The 19,773-nt window shown below is 46.7% G+C and overlaps 1 protein-coding gene and 1 long non-coding RNA gene across 10 annotated transcripts in view; one reads left to right on the top strand and one right to left on the bottom strand.

The window, feature by feature from the left end:
• ABCC6 (ATP binding cassette subfamily C member 6) overlaps positions 3,152 to 19,773 on the top strand; it is a 73,930-nt gene continuing 57,308 nt past the window's right edge. For 5 of the 9 annotated variants that reach the window (NR_199643.1, NR_199642.1, NM_001440310.1 and 2 more), the window contains exons 1-7: positions 3,152 to 3,247; positions 4,815 to 4,997; positions 6,699 to 6,824; positions 6,964 to 7,092; positions 12,197 to 12,322; positions 14,400 to 14,461; positions 17,787 to 17,918. Coding sequence is in view for 5 of the 9 variants with exons in the window: in NM_001440310.1 (NP_001427239.1) it covers positions 3,212 to 3,247; positions 4,815 to 4,997; positions 6,699 to 6,824; positions 6,964 to 7,092; positions 12,197 to 12,322; positions 14,400 to 14,461; positions 17,787 to 17,918 (794 nt within the window). In the remaining 4 variants the exon portion in view is untranslated. 9 annotated transcript variants of the gene reach the window in all.
• On the bottom strand, positions 13,511 to 17,789 carry LOC105371100 (uncharacterized). Its single transcript, XR_933131.3, has 3 exons — positions 17,702 to 17,789; positions 14,555 to 14,748; positions 13,511 to 13,825 (listed from the first exon to the last, which is right to left on the bottom strand). It is a non-coding gene; the product is annotated as an uncharacterized LOC105371100 (long non-coding RNA).

Here is a 19,773-nt window from a genome sequence, read left to right as displayed (position 1 = left end):
AATATAACGAATACTATCACAGGGTGTTCACCCATTGTGATATGAGACATAATAATATCTCCCCAGGATACAACAAATAATATCACAGGGTGTACACCCACTGTGATATTAGAGGAAATAATATCTTCCCAGGATATAATGAATAATATTACAGGGTGTACACCCACTGTGATATTAGAGGGATTAATATCTTCCCAGGATATAATGAATAATATCACAGGGTGTACACCCACTGTGATATTAGAGGAATTAATATCTCCCCAAAATATAATGAATAATATTACAGAATGTTCACCCACTGTGATATTAGGAATAATAATACCTCCCCAGGATATAACCAATAATATCACAGGGTGTACACCCACTGTGCTATTAGGAGTAATAATATCTCCCCAGGATATTACAAATAATATTACAGGATGTACACCCACTGTGACAATATGGGTAATATCTCCCAGGATATTATGAATAATATCACAGGGTATACACTTACTGTGATATTAGGAGTAATAATATCTCCCCAGGATATAATGAATAGTATCACAAGGCGTACAGCCACTGTGATACTAGGAGTAATATAGTAGTATCTCCCCAGGATATAACAAATAATATCACAAGGTGTACATGCACTGTGATATTAAAGGAAATAATATCTCTTCAGGATATAATGAATAATATCACAAAGTATACACCCACTGTGATATTAGGGGTAATATTATATCTCCAAGATATAGTGAATAATATCACAGGGGGTACACCCACAGTATATTAGGGGTAATAGTATATCCCCAGAATATAACGAATAATATCACAGGGTGTACACCCACCGTGACAATATGGATAATATCTTCCAGGATGTTACGAATAGTATCAAAGAGTATACACCCACTGTGATATTAGGGGCAATATCTCCACAGAATATTACAAATAATATCAAAAGATGTACACGCACTGTGACATTAGGGGTAATATCACCCAAAAATATTACAAATAATATCACAGCATGTACACAATGGTGTACGTTCATTGTGATATTATGATATCCATAGGGTATTACAAATAATAGCACAGGGTGTACCCCCACTGTGATATTAGGAGTCATATCTTTCTGGGAGGTCACAGCGTGTACACGCATGGTGTAAATTCACTGGGATATTAGGAGTAATATCGCCCTAGAATATTTCGAATCATATCACAGGGTGTACACCCACTGTGATATTAAAAGGAATATCTTTCTAGAACATTACAAATAGTATCACAAGGTGTACACCCACTATGAGATTAGGAGTAACATCTCCCTAGAATATTATGAATAATATCACAGTGTGTACAGGCACTGTGATTTTAGGAGTACTACCTTCTTAAGATATTATGAATAATATCATAGGGTATACACCCACTGTGAAATTAAAAGCAATAGCTCCCTACGATATTACGAATAATATCACGCAGTGTACACTCAAGGTGATATTAGGAGTAGTATCTCCCTAGGAAATTACGAATATTATCACAGAGTGTACACCCACTGTGATATTGAAAGTATTATCTTTCTAGGATATTATGAATAATATTACAGGGTGTACTCCCTCTGTGATATTAGGAGTTATATCTCCCTAGGATATTACAAATCATATCACAGGGTGTACACCCACTGTGGTATTAGGTGTAGTATCTCCCTAGGATATAACAAATAATATCACAGGGTATACACCTACGGTTATATCAGGAGTTATATCTTCATAGAATATTATGAATAATATCACAGGGTGTACACCCTCTGTGATATTAAAAGTAATATCTTTCTAGGATAGTATGAATAATATCACAGGGTGTACTCTCACTGTGATATTAGCGGTAATAACTCCCTAGGATATCACGAATTCTATGACAGAGTGTACACCCACCATGAGATTTGGAGTAATATATCTCTAGCATATTATGAATAATATCACAGGTTGTACACCTACTGTGATATTAGGAGTAAAATCTCCCTCGGATATTACAAATAATATCACAGTGTGTACTCCCACTGTGATATTAGGAGTAAAATCTCCTTCAGATATTACGAATAATATCACAGGATGTACACCCACTGTGATATTAGGAGTAATATCTCCCTTGGATATTTCTAATAATACCACAGCGTTTACACACATGGTGTTCACCCACTGGGATGTTAGGATAATATCTCCCTTGGATATTACCAATCGTATCAGAGGCTGTACACACGTGGTGTTCACCCAGCGTGATATTAGGAATAATATCTCCCTCGGATATTAGGAACAGTCTCTCCCTGGGACTTAGCAGAACGTAGCCCCCCAGTGTTAAATAAGCGACCACAGCAAGAGGTAGAGGCGCAGGGACTGAAATGAAGACAAATATCTGACAAGTTTAAAACACGTATTTAAAATAGAATTTATAAAATGCTTAATCTGCCGACTCAGGAGCCCGCGGTGCAGGGTGGGGTGGGAGTTGGCAGGTGACCGCTACACCAGCAGAGTAAGACTGCAGGGCTGCGGCCCTCCCTCCTATGCCCTTCTGTTCAGACACCCGAGGGGCCCATGTGCACTCCTGGGATCATACGACCAGAAAACAGGACCCTAGAGGTTTCTTGAGTTTCTGCTTACCAGGGCGGCTGGGTATAGCCCTGCCAGCCCATTGCATAATCTTCTAAGTTCTCCCCACCACCCTCCATTCCAGCAGCGAGGTGCCTGTGACGCGGTCTCCATCCTCTCGGCCTCGACCCGGTGGTCCCCGCGATTGGACGCTTAGGCGGTCACCAGGCCTCCTTGTTACTAACGTGTGCACACCTTTCAGTTCTCTCATCAGGATGAACTCCTGGAAATTGCTGGGTCCAAAGTGTTTAGGAAGTCTGGAGTGATTCTTGTTGCAGGGGGAAGAGGGAACTATGGAGGTGTCACTGAACTTTCAGGGGTTCCGGGACCCCCCAACCCGGTGCCCGTCCCAGCTCCCCGAGCGCCTCTCTTCCCCCATCCCCCACCTCGCCTGTTTTCACCTCCCGTGGCCTCACTCCCGCCGCGCAGCTGGACCTTGCCCGGGGCCTCCCGATCCCGGAGCTCGAATCCCAGCCGGACCAGCCCAGCCCGACCAGCCCAGCCCCGCCTCTTCTCCGGCAGGATCGCGGCCGAGCAGTCTGCCCAGAGACTTAGCGACAGACAGACGCTGGGACCCACGACGACAGAAGGCGCCGATGGCCGCGCCTGCTGAGCCCTGCGCGGGGCAGGGGGTGAGTGCCCCCCATCGCGCCCCACTCTCCTTTTCCAGGCTTGGTTTGGCTGCAGATCTCTCGGGCTGCGATACTGGGGAGAGGAGAGACCCCCAAATTCCTGGACCCGGGAAGCGAGGAGACTTACTCCGGCCCCCTCACTGCAGCGGGTTGGATTTCTTTCACCAAGCCAGCAGCCGAGAGCCCAGCTCTATTTAAGGGGCCACCAGACCTCCCAGCTACTAGGGGCTTTGACTCTTCTTTGCATAAAGCTAGTGGGTCCCCCAAGCCCTCCTACCCCCGGAGAGCCCTTACCTCTCTGGTTTCTTTTTCCATTGCTCTTAGCAAAGGACTCCAGGGAGTGGAGTTCATGGAGTGGGGGTGGGGGTTGCAAACTGCCAGCATTTCGAGGGCCAGGGAGTTGAAGCAATAAACTGGCAATGAACTGAGGGCTTTCTCTGTGCCTAGCCTTGTGCCCAACCTTGTGCCATGCTGCTATGAACTTTGCTGCTATTAATCCATTTAATACAACTCATAGAGGTAGAGTCTCGTTTTCCCCCTTTTACAGGGAAGGAAACTGAGATACAGAGAGGTTAAAGTTTGCACAGCCGGTGAGTTGTGAAACCAGGAGGAGTAAAAAGACAGCGGAGAGAGAATTGAAGAGGCCACGTCCACTAAACTTCAAATTTCTTCTAGGGTTAGATAGGACCAGCAGACCTGCTGAGATGAAAATAACAGATCAAGCTGGGCCGGTGGCTCTTGCCTGTAATCCCAGTACCTAGGAGGCTGAGGCAGGAGGATTGCTTGAGACCAGGAGTTCGAGACCAGCATAGAGAGACCCCCATCTCTACAAAACATAAAAAAAAAAAATTAGCCAGGCCTGGTGAGGCTGCTTATGCCTGTAATCCCAGCACTCTGGGAGGCCGAGGTGGGAGGATTGCTTGAGCCCAGGAAATTCGAAGCTTTGTTGAGCTTTGATTGTGCCACTTCAGCCTGGGCAACAGAGTGAGACCCTGTCTCTAAAACATAAATTAATTAATAATAAAAAATAAAAACAAATCATACATCAAGACCACCAGTCGAACGAGGTTTGGGGTCAGATAAGCCTGGGTCAGAGTCAGCTTTGCCACTTCCCATTTGTGTGTCCCTGGGGGAGGCAGTTCCCCGACTGGTGCCTCAGTCTGCTGGTTTCTGAAATGGAGACAGTACTGTCTGCGTCCTGGAGTTGTTATAAGGATTAACTGACAGTCCATGCCTAGCAATGATTATGGAGCCCAGGTCTCCTAGACCACATGGCCCAGTTCCCTGGGTTCAAATCCCAGCCCTTCCACTCCTCAGCTGGGTAAAGTCAGCAAAGTTACTCAACCTCTCTGGTCCTCAGCTTCTTCATCTGCAAATCAATATAATTGCAACTACCTAGGGTTAATGTCAGGATGAAAGGAATTGAGAATTAGTAGGTATTCCAAAGAGTACTTGGTACATTTTTGTGTAAATGTTAAAGATCCAAAAAGTTGCCTGGCCCCCTGGGCAGGTGAGCTGGGGACCCCTGCCTTGTACCATCCTAAGGGTCCTCTTTGTGTTCCCTCAGGTCTGGAACCAGACAGAGCCTGAACCTGCCGCCACCAGCCTGCTGAGCCTGTGCTTCCTGAGAACAGCAGGGGTCTGGGTACCCCCCATGTACCTCTGGGTCCTTGGTCCCATCTACCTCCTCTTCATCCACCACCATGGCCGGGGCTACCTCCGGATGTCCCCACTCTTCAAAGCCAAGATGGTAGCTGCCATCCCTGGGAGCCTGGAACCAGGCAATGTTCGGGGGAGGCAGGGGACAGGCTGGAACCTGGTGAAGTCTTAAAGTAGACTCCTCCTATCGGGGTGTAGAAGGGAATCTGTTAATCAAACAGAGCAATATTAGAAAGGCTACAGAGGTCAACTCAGTGGAACACGGTTCTCCCAAACAGATTTTGTAATTCCGAAAATCCACGCATGCGCAAACATACGCATACACTCCCATGTTCCTGGACAGTTTATAGCTACCATAACCTGGCATTTTCCAAAACATACCATGTAGACTCTTGGATACACAAGGTAATTTTAGAGCCACATTAGGATGAACCTTTTAAAAAGTTATGCATTTATTTTTATGTTCCCCCACTGGCTGTATTATAGGACAATTTTTATATGTGATATGTATTTACCTTAGTGTGTTAAATAAACACTGGCATTCCAAGTGTGAGCCTTTCTGCTCATCCATCCTCTTCTACTCCATTCTTGTAGGCTTCCAAAGAATGTTCTTCAGAGTTCATTCATTCTTCTGCCATTGTATTAATTTTTACATTATCACCCGCCACCAACCCAGGGGTTGGCAAACTTAAAGAGCCAAGCGGTACACAGTATTTGAGACTTTGTGAGCCAGGTAATCTTCCTTCCGAACACTGAACTCTGCCATTCCAGAATGAACGCAATAGTCATAACCATAGACAATAGTCATGACTGTGTTACTTTTTTGTTTGTTTTTTTTTTTTGAGATGCAGTTTTGCTCTTGTTACCCAGGCTGGAGTGCAATGGTGCGATCTCGGCTCACTGCAACCTCCGCCTCCTGGGTTCAAGTGATTCTCCTGCCTCAGCTTCCCGAGTAGCTGGGATTACAGGTGCCCACCCCCACACCTCGCTATTTTTTTGTATTTTTAGTAGAAACAGGGTTTCGCCATGTTGGCCAGGCTGGTCTCCAACTCCTGACCTCAGGTGATCTGCCTGCCTTGGCCTGCCAAAGTGCTGGGATTACAGGTGTAAGCCACCACCCCCGGCCGACTGCGTTTCAATAAAACTTTATTTGTAGTCACTGAAATTTGGATTTCATGTAATTTTCACCTGTCATGACATATGCTTTTTGTTTTTCTTTGATGATTGATAGTTTGCCAACTTCTGCTTTAAACTGAGGTTCTTTGAGCAGTTCCTCCAACGTAACCTAGCTCTGGCCTTCCCTCTGGTGTGCCCACGTTCTCTCATTTTCTTCCTTTCTTTTATTCAATAGAGAAACCAAAATATATTAGAGAGACCCTAGAGACTTACTGGCCCAACAGAGAGTTGCTCCTTGATTTCATAGCAGGGATTGAAAAATGACTTGGAGAAAGGATAGTTTTTTACCTGGTGAGTACATTTCATTTCCTGCTGTTTCTCCATACCCACAGTCATCTCATATGTGCACGATTGGAGCACTTCCTGCATTTTGGAAAACACTCGGTTGGCTCAAGCCCTTCCTGTGCATTATTTATATGACAGTTACAGGTCAGGAGTGATCTGCAATGCCCTTTACACATTGTTCACATTGGCACGTTGCTAGCTGGTGACCCTGGTATACTCAGTATCAGCCAGGATGTTGCAGAACCAGCTCCCAGTTGGACATGGGGCCGCCTACCAGTTTGCTGTGACCTCTCTTATTGCCCCCCAAGCTTATCTAAGCCTGTATCCTCAGGTGCTTGGATTCGCCCTCATAGTCCTGTGTACCTCCAGCGTGGCTGTCGCTCTTTGGAAAATCCAACAGGGAACGCCTGAGGCCCCAGAATTCCTCATTCATCCTACTGTGTGGCTCACCACGATGGTAATGATGCCTTCAGTCTGGAGCCCGGCTTCCTCCCAGCTGCTGCTTTGCCTGCCACAGTGGAGAACAAGGGGAAGAGAAGAGGCTCCCCTCAGCCTCCCACCCTCCCCTAAGGGGCCTCCCTGACTTTCCCGTCCAGAGCTTCGCAGTGTTCCTGATTCACACCGAGAGGAAAAAGGGAGTCCAGTCATCTGGAGTGCTGTTTGGTTACTGGCTTCTCTGCTTTGTCTTGCCAGCTACCAACGCTGCCCAGCAGGCCTCCGGAGCGGTAAGTCGGGGCGTGGGCCACCCTGGGAAACCAAAATGGTGGCTCATGCCTTGGGTCCCTTCCTTTCTCCTCCTGTTTCCACATACAACTTATTCTCTATACAGTGACACACACAAGCCAGTCACTTACACTCTAGAGACACAAAATCCACTCCCGCACCTGTCAGTACCCATCATCCCATACATTTCTTATCAACACAATTTCCTGTCTTACAGGCCCACATCACACGTGCCACTTGCACACGATGCACACACTTATAGGCACTGATTCATACATCGCACAAGTACATGCATGCACGCACACACACACAACCTGGGCACAGACACACCTGTGTGCACACATACCCCTCCGTGCACACCTCCCCTCATGTCATGGATTCACCCTCCCCATGTTCCTATGCACCTATATTTACACACTCATTCTGCACACCACTCGTATTTCTGTTGCCCAATCTGGGAAGCAGCTTTTTTTTTTTTTTTTTTTTTTTTTTTTTTGAGAGGCTTGCTCTGTCGCCCAGACTGGAATGAAGTGGCATGATCTCAGCTCACTGCAATTTCTGCCTCTCGGGTTCAAGCACTTCTCCTGCCTCTGCTTCCTGTGTAGCTGGGATTACAGGTGTGTGCCACTACACCTGGCTTATTCTAAATTTCTACTAAATTTCTACTAAAAATTTCTACTAAATTTCTACTAAAAATTTTTGTATTTTTAGTAGAGACGAGGTTTCACCATGTTGGCCAGGCTGGTCTCGAGCTCCTGACCTCAAGTGATCCACCTGCCTTGGCCTCCCAAAGTGTCGGGATTACAGGCGTGAGCTCTTGTCATTCGGCCGGAAGCAGCGTTTCTCTATTAGGAGACATGATGGGTCATTTTCTCTGTAAAGAGAAAAACATGTAGCCTAGACCAACTTCCCTCAGCCTCAGCTTTAGTAATGTTGTGGCCAGACAATTCTTTGTTGGGTGGACAGGGCTGTCTTGTTTGCTGCAGGGTGTGAAACAGCATCCCTGGCTTCTGCCCATAGGTGCCAGTAGCATACCATCCAATTGCAGTAACCCAAAATGTCTCCAGATATTACCAAGTGTCCCTGGGGGTGAGGAGGACAAAGTCACCCACCTATTGAGAAGCACTGGCCTCGACAGTGTGCTTAGCCAAGGCTTCTGGGAGAGGGAGTTATCTTAACACCAATGAACAGGCTGCAGCAGGTTTCAGATATTTTACTTCATTATTTTATTTTTGTGGAGACAACATCATGCTTTGTTGCCCAGGCTGATCTTGAACTCCTCGGCTCGAGCAATTCTCTGACCTCAGCCTCCTAAAATGCTGGGATTAGAGGCATGAGCCACCACGTCTGGACTCACAGATCATTTCTTCAGTCCAGTGGTTACTCCATCCTGCCCCTAAAGGAGAAGGTAGAGAAGCATCACCCTGTCCTTAAGGACAGAGTTTTTATTTTTTGTTTGTTCATTCTGAGACAGAGTCTTGCTCTATTGCCCAGGCTGGAGTGCAGTGGCACGATCTTGGCTCACTACAACCTCCACCTCCGGGTTCAATCGATTCCCATACCTCAGCCTCCCAAGTAGCTGGGATTACAGGCATGTGCCACCATGCCCAGCTAATTTTTGTATTTTTAGTAGAGACAAGGTTTCAATATGTTGGCCAGGCTCATCTCAAATGCCTGACCTCAAGTGACTCACCCGCCTCGGCCTCCCAAAGTGCTGGGATTACAGGCGTGAGCCACAGCGCCTGACCGAGGACAGAGTTTTTAAAAGAGTAACCTTTGTAACTAAGGGGAAATTCCACAGGTTATTCAGTAATTTCTGAAATGGTGGGCTCCCACAGTTGACATAAGTCAGCTTTTTGGGACACAGCATAGAAACAATAATACTGGGACCATATACATTCTGGGGTTCCAACCATGTGCCAGGCACTGTGGCAGGCACTTACACACGTCTCCTCACTGGATTCTCACAAGAGTTCACAGTGATGGGTTCTTTATTTTTTTAAATAGAAATAGAAACAAAGTCTCATTATGTTCCCAAGGCTGGTCTCAAACTCCTGGGCTCAAGCGATCTTTCCACCTAAGCCTCCCAAAGTGCTGGGATTACAGGCTTGAGCCAATGTGCCCCAGCCAATGATGAATTCTAGCCGTCCCATTTTAAAGATGAGGGAGACTAAGGCTAGGAGAAGGGAATGACGGCCTCAGGGCCACAAAGCTTGGGAGTGCAGAGCCCGAGTTCATCTCAGGCAAATTCAGAACAAACTTTCTGAGAGAAACAGTGGGGAAAACAGTGGGAGTTTAGGGAAGATGGGCCATATTGTCATTGGAATATCCAATTGTCTGCTATCTGCCAAAAAACAAACAAACAAACAAAAACCCAAAACTAGAAGAGTATAAAATCCAGTAGAGGAATCATGATTTAAAACTAGGGCTCTGGTTTAAAGCCATAAAACCTCAGTTCACACTAGCTTAATGAAAAGGGTAAGTCAAGGGGGTTCATTAGCTCATGCATTTATTAGCTCATACCCATGGGATCTCCCAGGCATGACTGATCCAGGCCTGGGACCAGGTACCATCACCAGATCTCCACTTCTGCCTCTTGGCTCTGCCATGTTAGCTTGATTCTCCAATGGAGTGGCAAGAAGAGCCACCAATACCTTCACACTTACATTCTAGCATGTAGCAAAGCCAGCAGAATCTCCCGATGGTTCCAGCTCTCAAGTACCCAGCATGGGGTGCTATGTGCATTCCTAACCCTGCCATGGTAGCCAAAAGACCAGAACGTATTCGTTGGCCAGGCCTCATTCACCCACCCAGCCTCGGAGTAGAGTCAGTTCTGCACAAATCACACGCCCGAACACAAGCAAAAAACTTAGGAAGAAAGAAAATCAGTACATGGAAGAGATCTCTGCACTCCCATGATTATTACAGCACTGTTCACAATAAACAAGATTTGGAAGCAACCTAAGTGTCCATCAACAGACGAACTGATAAAGAAAATGTGGTATATATACACAATGAAGTACTATGCAGCCATAAAAAAGAATGAGGTACTGTCATTTTCAACAACATGGATGTTAAGTGAAATAAGCCAGGCACAGAAAGACAAACTTTACATATTCTCACTTATTTGTGAAAGCTAAAAATTAAAACAATGTAACTCATGAACATATAGAGTAGATGGAAGGTTACTAGAGGCTAGGAAGGACAGTGGGTGGGGGAAATGGGGATGGTTAATGGGTACAAAAAAACAGAAAGAATAATATCTATTTGATAGCACAACAGGGTGACTATAGTCAATAATAATTTAATTGTACATTTTAAAATAACTAAAAGAGGCTGGACACAGTGGCTCACACCTGTAATTCCAGCACTTTGGGAGGCCAAGGCAGGAGGATCATCTGAGGTCAGGAGTTCAAGACCAGCATGGGCAACATGGTGAAACCCTGTCTCTACTAAAAATACAAAAAAAGTAGCCAGGCGTGCTGGCACACATCTGTAATCTCAGATACTCAGGAGGCTAAGGCAGGAGAATCACTTGAATCCAGGAGACGGAGGTTGCAGTGAGCCAAAATCAAGCCACTGCACTCCAGCCTGGGCAACAGAGTGAGACTCCAACTCAATAATAAACTAAAAAATAAAATAACTACAAGAGTAGAATGGATCATTTGTAACAGAAAGGATAAATGATTGCGGGGATGGAGACCTCATTTACCTTGATGTGATTATTATGCATTGCATGCCTGTATCAAAATATCTCACGTCATCCAGAAATATATATATCAGGCCGGGCGCGGTGGCTCATGCCTGTAATCCCAGCACTTTGGGAGGCCAAGGCAGGCGGATCACCTGAGGTCAGGAGTTCAAGACCAGCCTGGCCTACATGGTAAAACTCCATCTCTACTAAAAATACAAAAATTAGCCAGGGGTCGTGGCACATGCCTGTAATCCCAGCTACTCAGGAGGCTAAGGCAGGAGAATCGCTTGAACCCAGGAGGCGGAGGGTGCAGTGAGCCAAGATCATGCCACTGCACATCAGCCTGGGTGACAAAGCAAGACTCCGTCTCAAAAAAAAAAAAAGTATACACACACACACACACACACACACACACACACACACCTAAAATTAAAAAATAAAAAATGCTTTAAATTAAAAAAAGAAAGAAAATTAGGGTGTTTCTGACCAGATGACAGGGCAGCAGATGCAAAAATCATTGTGGTGTGGCAGCAGGAGCATCACAATTTGGACCAGATCATCTGCGTGTCCTTGAACAAGGTGCTGTCACTTCTCTGAGCCTTGGTTTCCCCCTGAGTCAAAGGAAGCAAGTAAACTCCAGCTGATGAGACTGTGTATGGCAAGAATGCCGCATGTGCTCAGGGCAGGGTCAGTGCTCAATAAAACCAGCTCTCATCTCTGCAAAACAGAGAACCCTGGCCAAGGGGGAGCAGGGTTGAAGATTGGGGTAGAGGGTGGAACGGAGAAAGGATTTCTTTTGTGGCACAAAGAAGAAGGTAAATTGTTTCTTCATCTCATTGTCCCAGCAGCTGTGGCCAATCATCATGTGGCTAAGGACAAAACCCAGACGCAGCCCTGGCCCACCATTTGTATAGACAGAATATTATAAATTGGGTATTTGAAAATTAGGACCTGCTGGGCATGGTGGCTCATGCCTGTAATCCCAACACTTTGGGAGGCCAAGGCAGGCAGATCACTTTAGGTCAGCAGTTTGAGGTCAGCCTGGCCAACATGGCAAAACCCCATCTCTACTAAAAATATTTTAAAAAAGTTAGCCAGGCATGGTGGTGGGCACCTGTAATCCCAACTACTAAGGAGGCAGAAGCAGGAGAATCACTTGAACCCAGGAGGCAGAGGTTGCAGGGAGCCGAGATCATGCCACTGCACTTCAGCCTGGGCGACCAAGTGAGACTTTGTCTTAAAAAAAAAAGAAAGAAAGAAAATTAGAACCACTAGGAAAGCCAGGGCTCTGGCTTTCAAATACTCTTGCCCTGGTCCCCAGAGTGGGCACTGACCCAAGATCAGAAACCTTTTCTCTCCTCTGAGCACCCTCCTCTGTCTCCATTCCTTATCTTCTGCTTTCCCTCCCACAGGGCTTCCAGAGCGACCCTGTCCGCCACCTGTCCACCTACCTATGCCTGTCTCTGGTGGTGGCACAGTTTGTGCTGTCCTGCCTGGCGGATCAACCCCCCTTCTTCCCTGAAGACCCCCAGCAGTCTGTAAGTCACCAAGTTCCAACCTCATTCCTGTTCCACTTTGAGGTCTCAGTCTCCCCCAGGTGACCAAAAGTCTTTAATTTTTTTATTCATTTAGCCATTCAGCAAAAAGTGTACCACATTTCTACTCGATGCCACAGTTGGCAGACTTTTTCTATATGGGCCAAGAGAAAATATTTTGGACTCTGTGAGCCATACAGTGATCTCAGTGGCAATTACTCAACTCTGCCATTGAACGCAAAAGCAGAATATGTCAACAAATTGCATGGCTGTGTTGCAATAACACTATTTGCAGAAACAGGCAGTGGGCCAGATTTGGTCATAGTTTGCCAAACCCCGCTATGCCCTAGCAAGGGCATAAGGATCTATGGTGAACAAGCAGATAGAGTTTCTGTTCTCACGTAGCTACTGGTCAAGCAGGGGAACCAGACACTGGTCACAAAATTAAACAAATATGTTGAAAATTGGATGGTCACAGTGGCTCATGCCTGTAATCCCAACACTTTGGGAGGCCAAGGCAGGTGGATCACTTGAGGTCGAGAGTTCAAAGCCAGCCTGGCCAACATGGTAAAGCCTCATCTCTTCTAAAATTACAAAAATTAGCCAGGCATGGTGGTGCACGCCTGTAATCCCAGCTACTCGGGAGGCTGAGGCAGGAGAATTGCTTGAATCCGGGATGTGGAGGTTGCAGGGAGCCAAGACTGTGCATTTGCACTCCAGCCTGGGCAACAAGAGCGGAACTCCACCAAAAAAAAAAAAAAAAAAAAAGAAGGAAAAAGAAAATTACCCTTGGGGTAAGTGCTCCATAGAAGAAGCTCATGAGAGATTGAGAGATTTACAATAGGTAACAGTGAAGCAGTCTGTGAAATCAAGAAACAATTCTTTTGTGGAAGAGACTGATCTGACATCATATAAACAGATGTTCAAATGGGGCCAGATGCAGTGGATCATGCCTGTAATCTCAACACTTTGGGAGACCGAGGAAGGAGGATTGTTTGTGCCCAGGTGTTCTAGATCAGACTAGGCAATGTAGTGAGACCCCATCTCTACAAAAAGGTTTTTAAAAATAGCCTAGTGTGGTGGTGCATGCCTGTAGTCCCACTACAGAGTAGCTCTGTGGAGACTAAAGCAGGAGGATTGCTTGAATCCAAGAGATAAAGGCTGCAGTGAGCTATGATTGCACCATTGCACTCCAGCCTGGGTGACAGAGCGAGACCCTGTATTCAAAAAAAAAAAAAAAAAAATTGCTCGAAGGCTTGAGAATAGTTAAAACTATCATAGGAATCTTTTTTGTACCTACCAGAGTAGCAACAAAATTTAAAAATTAATAAGCTGTGATGGCAAAAACGTGGTGAAATGGGCACCTTCACGCCTTATTGGTAAAGAGTACAGACTGTTGTAATCTTCCTGGAGCACCTGACAAAAATCGCACGACAGGTCTGTCTTCACAACATTTGCCGAGGGATATTGTCAAGGATCTAATTTCTTCGTTATGCAGTGTCCTTCCTTTTGAGAAGCAAAGCAAGGTTTTGGTTTCAGTATAATCATAGTTGTTCTTCTGAGCCACTGTTATTTCTTACCTTGTGGACATTGTCAGGCCTGTGGCCCAACCTCTTTTTACGCTGCCTGCTGGGAAGCACCAAGCTCACTGGTCTACACCCCTGGCAAGGAGACAGGGCACCTCGATGTTTACTTTCAGTACTAAATACACCGTCAGGGCTGGGTGTAGTGGCTCATGCCTGTAATCCCAGCACTTTGGGAGGCCGAGATAGGCAGATCACTTGAGGTTAGGAGTTTGAGACCAGCCTGGCCAACATGGTGAAACCCTGTCTCTACTAAAAACACAAAAAATTAGCTGTGTGTGGTGGCGCACACCTGTCATCCCAGCTCTTTGGAAGGCTGAGGCAGGAGAATCGCTTGAACCCAGGAGGCAGAGGTAGTAGTGAGCCAAGATCACACCGCTGTACTCTGGCCTGGGCAACAGAGCGAAACCCTGTCTCGAAAAAAAAAAAAATACACAGTTCGTCCTGTCTTCCTACCCTTGCCACATACTTCCCTTCTCCATTTTTGTCTGTTGCAGAACCCCTGTCCAGAGACTGGGGCAGCCTTCCCCTCCAAAGCCACGTTCTGGTGGGTTTCTGGGTAAGTAAAGTCGCACGGAAGGGTTGGGGTGGTGCCTCACCCGCCTGCATTTGCTGCTCTGATTCCCAGCCATGGCCCTTCCCCTGTGCTTACAAAGGCCAGCAAGTCTTTCTTCATCCCAGCCTCAGTGCTTTCTTCTTCGTGTTCAGTGTCTACCATCTGCATCCTGTTCCCATTCACTCACTGGAGTGAGATCTTGATTTGAATCCCGGCTCTGCCTGTTAGCAGGCCATGTCGCAAACCTCCGGAGTCTCAGTTTTCCCTCTGTAAAATGGGGATGACTCAACCTGCATGAGACGGAAAGTGCTTAGTGCTTGCACACAGCGGGTGCTTAATAGTAATTAGAATTGTCTCCAATACTTGATTTCAGTCATTCCACCAACATTTAATAGGCACCTACTATGTGCTAAGCCCCAGGGGTGAGGAGATAAAGGAGCAAGTGTCTACTTTCTAGAGGGTTCCAGGCAGATTGAGAAAACAGCTGCTTCTCCAGGGCCAGCTCACAAGGCACTTGAGGATGTGCTCTCTCCTAACCACACGGCATTCAGACCTCAGTAGCACCTGACATATGGATTTGAATCCTGGCCCTACCACTTCCTAGCTGTGTTGCTTTGGACAGTTACTTAACCTCTCTGTGCCTCAGTCTCCACTCCTTCAAAATGGGATTGATAGTAGCACTTAGCTCATAGGGTTGTGAAGCTTAAATAAGATGAGATCTGTAAAGCACTTAGAACAGGGCCTGGCAAATAATGAGTTTAAGTGGTAATTATTTTTTTTTCTTTTGAGATGGAGTTCCGTTCTTGTTGCCCAGGCTGGAGTACAATGGCACTATCTTGGCTCACTGCAACCTCCGCCTCCTGGGTTCAAGCGATTCTCCTGCCTCAGCCTCCCGAGTAGCTGAGATTACAGGCATGCACCACTATGCTCGGCTAATTTTGTATTTTTAGTAGAGACAGTGTTTCTCCATGTTGGTCAGGCTGATCTGAAACTCCCGACCTCAGGTGATCTGCCCGCCTCGGCTTCCCAAAGTGCTGGGATTACAGGTGTGACCCACTGTGCCTGGGCTATTCATTTTCTCTTTTTTTTTTTGAGACAGAGTTTCACTCTTGTTGCCCAGGCTGCAGTGCAATGGCACAATCTCAGCTCACTGCAACCTCCACCTCCCAGGTTCAAGCAATTCTCCTGCCTCAGCCTCCCGAGCAGCTGGGATTACAGGCGCCTGCCATCATGCCCAGCTAATTTTTGTAGTTTTTTGTAGAGACCGGGTTTCACCACGTTGGCCAAGCTGGTCTCAAACTCCTGACCTCAAGTGATCTACCCCACTCGACCTCCCAAAGTGCTGGGATTACAGGCATAAGCCACCGCACCCGGCCTAAATGGCTATTAAATAAATGAAAAATATCAGGCTTTGAATGTGTGGAACTGGTAGAAAGAGCTTAGAGGTTTTCGAAACAGCTCTACTGGGGGGTCCAGCCCCTGCTTCCCAAACTTAAGCATTTATGGACCACTCTTGATGCTTTTTTGTCCTACTGGGGCAAAAACTAAATTGAGTCACTTTTTTTACTCGAATAAACTGTTTTTAAAAAGAAACTCTCTATCACTGCTAAAATAGGAAAAATCTATAGCATCACTTGCCATATAGGAGAACTCCAAAAATAATTTCAGGGAAAATCAAGCCACGTTAATAATTTCTATGTCAGAACGGTTGCTTCCCCAAGTTGGCTCTGCATTAGAAAAGGGAACTTGGTGGCCTGGCGCAGTGGCTCACGCCTATAATCCCAACACCTTGGGAGGCTGAGGCAGGTGGATCACCTGAGGTCAGGATTTCGAGACCAGCCTGACCAACATGGTGAAACCCCATCTCTACTAAAAATATAAAAATTAGCCAGGTGTGGTGGTGGGAGCCTGCAATCCCAGTCACTCAGGAGGCTGAGGCAGGAGAATCACTTGAACCCAGGAGGTGGAGGTTGCGGTGAGCCGAGATCACACCAGTGCACTCCAGCCTGAGCAACAGAGTGAGATTCCATCTCAAAAAAATAAAAAGAATAAAAATAAAAAAGAAAAGGGAACTTGGTAAGGCTTAGAGAAGAGTCAGAGACCAGAACCAGGCAAGACCTTCTGGCTGGTGTCATCAGAAAGATTAAAGAGACCTGAGGCCAGGCACAGTGGCTCACACCCATAATCCCAACACTTTGGAAGGCCAACCCTGACAGATCACTTGAGGCCGGGAGTTCGAGACCAGCCTGGCCAACATGGCGAAATCCCATCTCTACTATAAACAAAAAAATTAGCCAGGTGTGGTGGCTTACGCCTGTAGTCCTAGCACTTTGGGAGGCTGAGGTGGGAGGATTGCTTGAGGCCAGTAGGTCGAGACCAGCCTGGCCAGCATGGTGATACACCATCCAAAAACACAAAAATTAGCCAGGTGTGATGGTGGCTTGTAATTTCAACTACTCAGAAGGCTGAGGCGTGAGAATCGCTTGAGCCAGGGAGGCGGAGGTTGCAGTGAGCCCAGATCACATCAGTGCACTCCAGCCTAGGCAACAGAGTGAGACTCCATCTCAAAAAAAATAATAATAATTAAAAAAAAAAAGCTGAGGGAGGAGTTCAAGCTTCTTCTACAATGATAGTTTTGGTCAACGGACTTCTGATTCCCAGGGAAATGTCTGTTTCCCTTGCCAAGGGCTATCCCTTGGTTTAGCCACTGAATCTCTCTGCACTTCTATTTCCTTCCCCATCTGTAAAATAGATCTATAATAATATACTCATACATTTATACAATTATAAACTATCAATTTACAGGCTGGGTGTGGTGGCTCATGCCTGTAATCCCAGCACTTTGGGAGGCTGAGGCAGGTGGATCACCTGAGGTCAGGAGTTCGAGACCAGTCTGGCCAACATGGTGAAACTCCATCTCTACAAAAAATACAAAAATTAGCCGGGTATGGTGGTGGGTGCCTGTAATCCCAGCTACTCAGGAGGCTGAGGTGGGAGAATCGCTTGAACCTGGGAGGTGGAGGTTGCAGTGAGCCGAGATTGCACCACTGCACTCCAGCCTGGGAGACAGAACAAGACTCCATCTCAAACAAACAATAATAACCTACCTTATGGGTTCATGTAAGAATTAATGAGACAATCTTTGTGAAACGAGAAATGCCCTGCAGACATTAGGTGGGGTTAGTGAATTGCTTTCTTTTTACCCAGGGGCCAGTAGAGGTACAGAGAGGTAAAGTGACTTACCCAGGGTCACACAGCTACTCGCCTGGCCAGGATCCTGCAGGGGTGAATGGCAGGAAAAGCTTTCCCTGGTGCCCCTCTTTTGCAGCCTGGTCTGGAGGGGATACAGGAGGCCACTGAGACCAAAAGACCTCTGGTCGCTTGGGAGAGAAAACTCCTCAGAAGAACTTGTTTCCCGGCTTGAAAAGGAGTGGATGAGGAACCGCAGTGCAGCCCGGAGGTAAGTGGGTGGAGGTCAAGAACTCACCTGATGCTACTTCAGAAAAGCTCATCATTGGCCGGGTGCGGTGGCTCACGACTGTAATCCCGGCATTTTGGGAGGCCGAGGCAGGCGGATCACAAGGTCAGGAGTTCAAGACCAATCTGGCCAACATAGTGAAACCCCATCTCTGCTAAAAATAGAAAAATTAGCTGGGCGTGGTGGTAGGCACCTATAATCCCAGCTACTCAGGAGGCTTGAGGCAGGAGAATCGTTTGAACCCAGGAGGCAGAGGTTGCAGTGAGTGGAGATGTCACCATTGCACTCCAGCCTGAGTGACAGGGCCAGACTCCGTATCAAAAAAAAAAACAAACAAACAAGACAAAAACAAAAACAAAAACAAAAAAACCTCATCATTTGACCCCCAGTCCAGCCCCCAACGCTACTCTGGCGGCACTGCCGCCTCCCCACCTTGCCTTCCAGCTGATCCCACTAAGTAGTATCAGGCTTAAGATATGGTTCCTCCCAGAACGCATCACAGGTTCCTACAAACGGGGAACAAACAGGTTCCTACAAATGGGGAAATGGCAGAATGACAGGCAGCAAACAGAAGAGGTATTTTAAGGCCGGGGTGGAGGGTTGGGAGGTGACTCAACACACAAGCAGCTGCTCACTTACTATATAACCTGAGCAATTCCTTTCCTGGGCCTCAGTTTTCTCATCTGTTCAGTGGGGATGTCATTAGCCCCAGCTCATAGCTTATGGGGATGAAAAAAAAGGATGATTTATGGAAAAGAACTTGCAAATGTCTTGCAAATGGGAAGTGCTCAAGCACTGTTAGTCATCCAGAGGGTGTTAAGATCTTTGGAGTTATCCACTCTGTCCACTCCTGCCCTCAGTGGCATCTCTGGAAACTTCTCTGCAGCCCTTAGAGCCTGGGATGCCTCATTTGAGAAACTCTGGTCTAGATAAATGAGCCTGCATAGGATTAGATAAAATTGGGTTAAATGCTGCCCTGCCTTCAAATAGTGATGACCTTGGACACGTTGCTTAACCTCACCGGATCTTGGTGTTTTAGGAGACAGAACAAAAAAGGAAGTTAGCTCTGTGGGAAGTTCCCTGCATACTCCGGGATTTTGTGGTAGTTGTTGCAGATGGCTGAATCCCACACATTAAGAGAGACAGAGGAGACAGAGACTGATACTATAGGCTCACACAGCTAAGAGGATCTAGCCTCAGGTGTTGCTGGATCAGGGGACTCAAATGATGTCAGGATTCTCTCCTTTCATCTCCCATCCCAACTATTATCTATGTGTTGGTCTCTCCATAAGGCCTATCCCTTCCCATGCAAGTTCAGCAAACTCCAGCAGAATAAGAGAGCATCTCTCTCCTAACGTCCATATAGTAAATCCCAAGGAAGGCCTCTAATTGGCCTGGCTCAAGTCATGTGCCTGTCAGGGGCCAATCCCATGCCCAGGGGGCTGGTGCCATGACTGGTGGTCCCTTCAGAGCCACAGAAGTGGGTAGGGGCTGTTCCCACAAAGGAAGGGCATGTGTTTTTCCAAACAGAATAAGTAGTGTGAGAGAACCAAAACATCAGTTCTCTCTCACCCCAGGCATGGCTTGCTGGACCCCCTTCACTGGGTTGTGGTATGATCTCAGCTCACTGCAACCTCCACCTCCTGGGTTCAAGCAATTCTCCTGCCTCAGCCTTCTGAGTAGCTGGGACCACAGGCGTGTGCCACCACATCTAGCTGATTTTTAAATTTTTTTTAGTAGAGACAGGGTCTCACCATGTTGGCCAGGGTGATCTTGAACTCCTGACCTCAGGGGATCTGCCTGCCTTGGCCTCTCAAGGTGCTGGGATTACAGATGT

This window comes from Homo sapiens, chromosome 16 (genome assembly GCF_000001405.40).
Source record: "Homo sapiens chromosome 16, GRCh38.p14 Primary Assembly".
Classification (NCBI taxonomy): Eukaryota; Metazoa; Chordata; class Mammalia; order Primates; family Hominidae; genus Homo; species Homo sapiens.
The sequence above is the reverse complement of the archived record's forward strand: the minus strand, read 5'-3'. Positions and strand labels throughout refer to the sequence as shown.